This window comes from Homo sapiens, chromosome 7, assembly GCF_000001405.40.
Source record: "Homo sapiens chromosome 7, GRCh38.p14 Primary Assembly".
Taxonomy (NCBI): domain Eukaryota; kingdom Metazoa; phylum Chordata; class Mammalia; order Primates; family Hominidae; genus Homo; species Homo sapiens.
Window position 1 is genome coordinate 19,188,686 of NC_000007.14, and position 6,322 is coordinate 19,195,007.

The window sequence follows — 6,322 nt, forward strand, 5'->3', positions numbered from 1 at the left end:
CTAGAAAATACAAAAAACTCAAACAACTCAACAAAAAACAAAACAAACAAATAAAAAACACAATCCCATTAAAAAATGGGCAAAGGATCTAAATAGATGTTTCTGAAAAAACAATATACATGGGGCCAACAGGTATATGAAAAATGCTCAATATTACTAATCACCAAGGAAATGCAAATCAAATTTACAATGAAATATTATCTTATCCCTGTTAGAATGGCTATTATAAAAACAAAAAAACAAAAAAAGATTCTGGCAAGGATGTAGAGAAAAGGGAACTCTCATACATTCTTCATGGTAATGTAGATTACTACAGTAATTATGGAAAACAATATAGAAATTTCTTTTTTTTTAAATTTTTTTTATTATGCTTTAAGTTTTAGGGTACATGTGCACATTGTGCATGTTAGTTACATATGTATACATGTGCCATGCTGGTGCGCTGCACCCACTAACTCATCATCTAGCATTAGGTATATCTCCCAATGCTATCCCTCCCCCCTCCCCCCTCCCCCCACCCCACCACAGTCCCCAGAGTGTGATATTCCCCTTCCTGTGTCCATGTGATCTCATTGTTCAATTCCCACCTATGAGTGAGAATATGCGGTGTTTGGTTTTTTGTTCTTGTGATAGTTTACTCAGAATGATGACTTCCAATTTCATCCATGTCCCTACAAAGGACATGAACCCATCATTTTTTATGGCTGCATAGTATTCCACGGTGTATATGTGTCACATTTTCTTAATCCAGTCTATCATTGTTGGACATTTGGGTTGGTTCCAAGTCTTTGCTATTGTGAATAATGCCGCAATAAACATATGTGTGCATGTGTCTTTATAGCAGCACGATTTATAGTCCTTTGGGTATATACCCAGTAATGGGATGGCTGGGTCAAATGGTATTTCTAGTTCTAGATCCCTGAGGAATCGCCACACTGACTTCCACAATGGTTGAACTAGTTTACGGTTCCACCAACAGTGTAAAAGTGTTCCTATTTCTCCACATCCTCTCCAGCACCTGTTGTTTCCTGACTTTTTAATGATTGCCATTCTAACTGGTGTGAGATGGTATCTCATTGTGGTTTTGATTTGCATTTCTCTGATGGCCAGTGATGATGAGCGTTTTTTCATGTGTTTTTTGGCTGCATAAATGTCTTCTTTTGAGAAGTGTCTGTTCATGTCCTTCGCCCACTTTTTGATGGGGTTGTTTGTTTTTTTCTTGTAAATTTGTTTGAGTTCATTGTAGATTCTGGATATTAGCCCTTTCTCAGATGAGTAGGTTGCGAAAATTTTCTCCCATTTTGTAGGTTGTCTGTTCACTCTGATGGTAGTTTCTTTTGCTGTGCAGAAGCTCTTTAGTTTAATTAGATCCCATTTGTCAATTCTGGCTTTTGCTGCCATTGCTTTTGGTGTTTTGGACATGAAGTCCTTGCCCATGCCTATGTCCTGAATGGTAATGCCTAGGTTTTCTTCTAGGGTTTTTATGGTTTTAGGTCTAACGTTTAAGTCTTTAATCCATCTTGAATTGATTTTTGTATAAGGTGTAAGGAAGGGATCCAGTTTCAGCTTTCTACATATGGCTAGCCAGTTTTCCCAGCACCATTTATTAAATAGGGAATCCTTTCCCCATTGCTTGTTTTTCTCAGGTTTGTCAAACATCAGATAGTTGTAGATATGCGGCATTATTTCTGAGGGCTCTGTTCTGTTCCATTGATCTATATCTCTGTTTTGGTACCAGTACCATGCTGTTTTGGTTACTGTAGCCTTGTAGTATAGTTTGAAGTCAGGTAGTGTGATGCCTCCAGCTTTGTTCTTTTGGCTTAGGATTGCCTTGGCGGTGTGGGCTCTTTTTTGGTTCCATATGAACTTTAAAGTAGTTTTTTCCAATTCTGTGAAGAAAGTCATTGGTAGCTTGATGGGGATGGCATTCAATCTGTAAATTGCCTTGGGCAGTATGGCCATTATCACGATTTTGATTCTTCCTACCCATGAGCATGGAATGTTCTTCCATTTGTTTGTATCCTCTTTTATTTCCTTGAGGAGTGGTTTGTAGTTCTCCTCGAAGAGGTCCTTCACATCCCTTGTAAGTTGGATTCCTAGGTATTTTATTCTCTTTGAAGCAATTGTAAATGGGAGTTCACTCATGATTTGGCTCTCTGTTTGTCTGTTATTGGTGTATAAGAATGCTTGTGATTTTTGTACATTGATTTTGTATCCTGAGACTTTGCTGAAGTTGCTTATCAGCTTAAGGAGATTTTGGGCTGAGACAATGGGGTTTTCTAGATATACAATCATGTCATCTGCAAACAGGGACAATTTGACTTCCTCTTTTCCTAATTGAATACCCTTTATTTCCTTCCCCTGCCTAATTGCCCTGGCCAGAACTTCCAACACTATGTTGAATAGGAGTGGTGAGAGAGGGCATCCCTGTCTTGTGCCAGTTTTCAAAGGGAATGCTTCCAGTTTTTGCCCATTCAGTATGATATTGGCTGTGGGTTTGTCATAGATAGCTCTTATTATTTTGAAATACGTCCCATCAGTACCTAATTTATTGAGAGTTTTTAGCATGAACGGTTGTTGAATTTTGTCAAAGGCTTTTTCTGCATCTATTGAGATAATCATGTGGTTTTTGTCTTTGGCTCTGTTTATATGATGGATTACATTTATTGATTTGCATATATTGAACCAGCCTTGCATCCCAGGGATGAAGCCCACTTGATCATGGTGGATAAGCTTTTTGATGTGCTGCTGGATTCGGTTTGCCAGTATTTTATTGAGGATTTTTGCATCAATGTTCATCAAGGATATTGGTCTAAAATTCTCTTTTTTTGTTGTGTCTCTGCCCGGCTTTGGTATCAGAATGATGCTGGCCTCATAAAATGAGTTACAGAGGATTCCCTCTTTTTCTATTGATTGGAATAGTTTCAGAAGGAATGGTACCAGTTCCTCCTTGTACCTCTGGTAGAATTCGGCTGTGAATCCATCTGGTCCTGGACTCTTTTTGGTTGGTAAACTATTAATTATTGCCACAATTTCAGCTCCTGTTATTGGTCTATTCAGAGATTCAACTTCTTCCTGGTTTAGTCTTGGGAGAGTGTATATGTCGAGGAATTTATCCATTTCTTCTAGATTTTCTAGTTTATTTGCGTAGAGGTGTTTGTAGTATTCTCTGATGTTAGTTCGTATTTCTGAGGGATCGGTGGTGATATCCCCTTTATCATTTTTTATTGCGTCTATTTGATTCTTCTCTCTTTTTTTCTTTATTAGTCTTGCTAGCAGTCTATCAATCTTGTTGATCCTTTCAAAAAACCAGCTCCTGGGTTCATTAATTTTTTGAAGGGTTTTTTGTGTCTCTATTTCCTTCAGTTCTGCTCTGATTTTAGTTATTTCTTGCTTTCTGCTAGCTTTTGAATGTGTTTGCTCTTGCTTTTCTAGTTCTTTTAATTGTGATGTTAGGGTGTCAATTTTGGATCTTTCCTGCTTTCTCTTGTGGGCATTTAGTGCTATAAATTTCCCTCTACACACTGCTTTGAATGCGTCCCAGAGATTCTGGTACATTGTGTCTTTGTTCTCGTTGGTTTCAAAGAACATCTTTATTTCTGCCTTCATTTCGTTATGTATCCAGTAGTCATTCAGGAGCAGGTTGTTCAGTTTCCATGTAGTTGAGCGGTTTTGAGTGAGCTTCTGAATCCTGAGTTCTAGTTTGATTGCACTGTGGTCTGAGAGATAGTTTGTTATAATCTCTGTTCTTTTACATTTGCTGAGGAGAGCTTTACTTCCATGTATGTGGTCAATTTTGGAATAGGTGTGGTGTGGTGCTGAAAAAAATGTATATTCTGTTGATTTGGGGTGGAGAGTTCTGTAGATGTCTATTAGGTCCACTTGGTGCAGAGCTGAGTTCAATTCCTGGGTATCCTTGTTGACTTTCTGTCTCGTTTATCTGTCTAATGTTGACAGTGGGGTGTTAAAGTCTCCCATTATTAATATGTGGGAATCTAAGTCTCTTTGCAGTTCACCCAGGACTTGCTTTATGATTCTGGGTGCTCCTGTGTTGGGTGCATATATATTTAGGATAGTTAGCTCTTCTTGTTGAATTGATCCCTTTACCATTATGTAATGGCCTTCTTTGTCTCTTTTGATCTTTGTTGGTTTAAAGTCTCTTTTATCAGAGACTAGGATTGCAACCCCTGCCTTTTTTTGTTTTCCATTTGCTTGGTAGATCTTCCTCCATCCTTTTATTTTGAGCCTATGTGTGTCTCTGCACGTGAGATGGGTTTCCTGAATACGGCACACTGATGGGTCTTGACTCTTTATCCAATTTGCCAGTCTGTGTCTTTTAATTGGAGCATTTAGTGCATTTACATTTAAAGTTAATATTGTTATGTGTGAATTTGATCCTGTCATTATGATGTTAGCTGGTTATTTTGCTTGTTAGTTGATGCAGTTTCTTCCTAGTCTCGATGGTCTTTACATTTTGGCATGATTTTGCAGCGGCTGGTACCGGTTGTTCCTTTCCATGTTTAGTGCTTCCTTCAGGAGCTCTTTTAGGGCAGGCCTGGTGGTGACAAAATCTCTCAGCATTTGCTTGTCTGTAAAGGATTTTATTTCTCCTTCACTTATGAAGCTTAGTTTGGCTGGATATGAAATTCTGGGTTGAAAATTCTTTTCTTTAAGAATGTTGAATATTGGCCCCCACTCTCTTCTGTCTTGTAGGGTTTCTGCCAAGAGATTCGCTGTTAGTCTGAGGGGCTTCCCTTTGAGGGTAACCTGACCTTTCTCTCTGGCTGCCCTTAACGTTTTTTCCTTCATTTCAACTTTGGTGAATCTGACAATTATGTGTCTTGGAGTTGCTCTTCTCGAGGAGTATCTTTGTGGCGTTCTCTGTATTTCCTGAATCTGAACGTTGGCCTGCCTTGCTAGATTGGGGAAGTTCTCCTGGATAATATCCTGCAGAGTGTTTTCCAACTTGGTTCCATTCTCCCCATCACTTTCAGGTACACCAATGAGATGTAGATTTGGTCTTTTCACATAATCCCATACTTCTTGGAGGCTTTGCTCATTTCTTCTTATGCTTTTTTCTCTAAACTTCCCTTCTCGCTTCATTTCATTCATTTCATCTTCCATTGCTGATACCCTTTCTTCCAGTTGATCGCATCGGCTCCTGAGGCTTCTGCATTCCTCACGTAGTTCTTGAGCTTTGGTTTTCAGCTCCATCAGCTCCTTTAAGCACTTCTCTGTATTGGTTATTCTAGTTATACATTCTTCTAAATTTTTTTCAAAGTTTTCAACTTCTTTGCCTTTGGTTTGAATGTCCTCCCGTAGCTCAGAGTAATTTGATCATCTGAAGCCTTCTTCTCTCAGCTCGTCAAAGTCATTCTCCATCCAGCTTTGTTCCCTTGCTGGTGAGGAACTGCGTTCCTTTGGAGGAGGAGAGGTGCTCTGCGTTTTAGAGTTTCCAGTTTTTCTGTTCTGTTTTTTCCCCATCTTTGTGGTTTTATCTACTTTTGGTCTTTGATGATGGTGATGTACAGATGGGTTTTTGGTGTGGATGTCCTTTCTGTTTGTTAGTTTTCCTTCTAACAGACAGGAACCTCAGCTGCAGGTCTGTTGGAATACCCTGCCGTGTGAGGTGTCAGTGTGCCCCTGCTGGAGGGTGCCTCCCAGTTAGGCTGCTCAGGGGTCAGGGGTCAGGGACCCACTTGAGGAGGCAGTCTGCCGGTTCTCAGATCTCCAGCTGCATGCTGGGAGAACAACTGCTCTCTTCAAACTGTCAGACAGGGACATTTAAGTCTGCAGAGGTTACTGCTGTCTTTTTGTTTGTCTGTGCCCTGCCCCCAGAGGTGGAGCCTACAGAGGCAGGCAGGCCTACTTGAGCTGTGGTGGGCTCCACCCAGTTAGAGCTTCCAGGCTGCTTTGTTTACCTAAGCAAGCCCGGGCAATGGCGGGCGCCCCTCCCCAAGCCTCGCTGCCGCCTTGCAGTTTGATCTCAAACTGCTGTGCTAGCAATCAGCGAGACTCCGTGGGCATAGGACCCTCTGAGCCAGGTGCGGGGTATAATCTCGTGGTGCGCCATTTTTTAAGCCGGTCCGAAAAGCGCAATATTCAGGTGGGAGTGACCCGATTTTCCAGGTGAGTCCGTCACCCCTTTCTTTGACTCGGAAAGGGAACCCCCTGACCCCTTATGCTTCGCGAGTGAGGCAATGCCTCGCCCTGCTTCGGCTCGCGCACGGTGCGTGCACCCACTGACCTGTGCACACTGTCTGGCACTCCCTAGTGAGATGAACCCGGTACCTCAGATGGAAATGCAGAAATCACCCGTCTT

At 41.1% G+C, this 6,322-nt stretch overlaps 1 annotated feature.

Annotated features, from left to right (window-relative positions):
* Positions 5,514 to 6,051: an enhancer, noted in NCBI's record as "NANOG-H3K27ac-H3K4me1 hESC enhancer chr7:19233822-19234359 (GRCh37/hg19 assembly coordinates)". NCBI's record gives its function as "activates a minimal SCP1, AML or CMV promoter by ChIP-STARR-seq in primed H9 embryonic stem cells {active_cell/tissue: H9 hESC(primed)}" and the evidence as "EXISTENCE:reporter gene assay evidence [ECO:0000049][PMID:30033119]".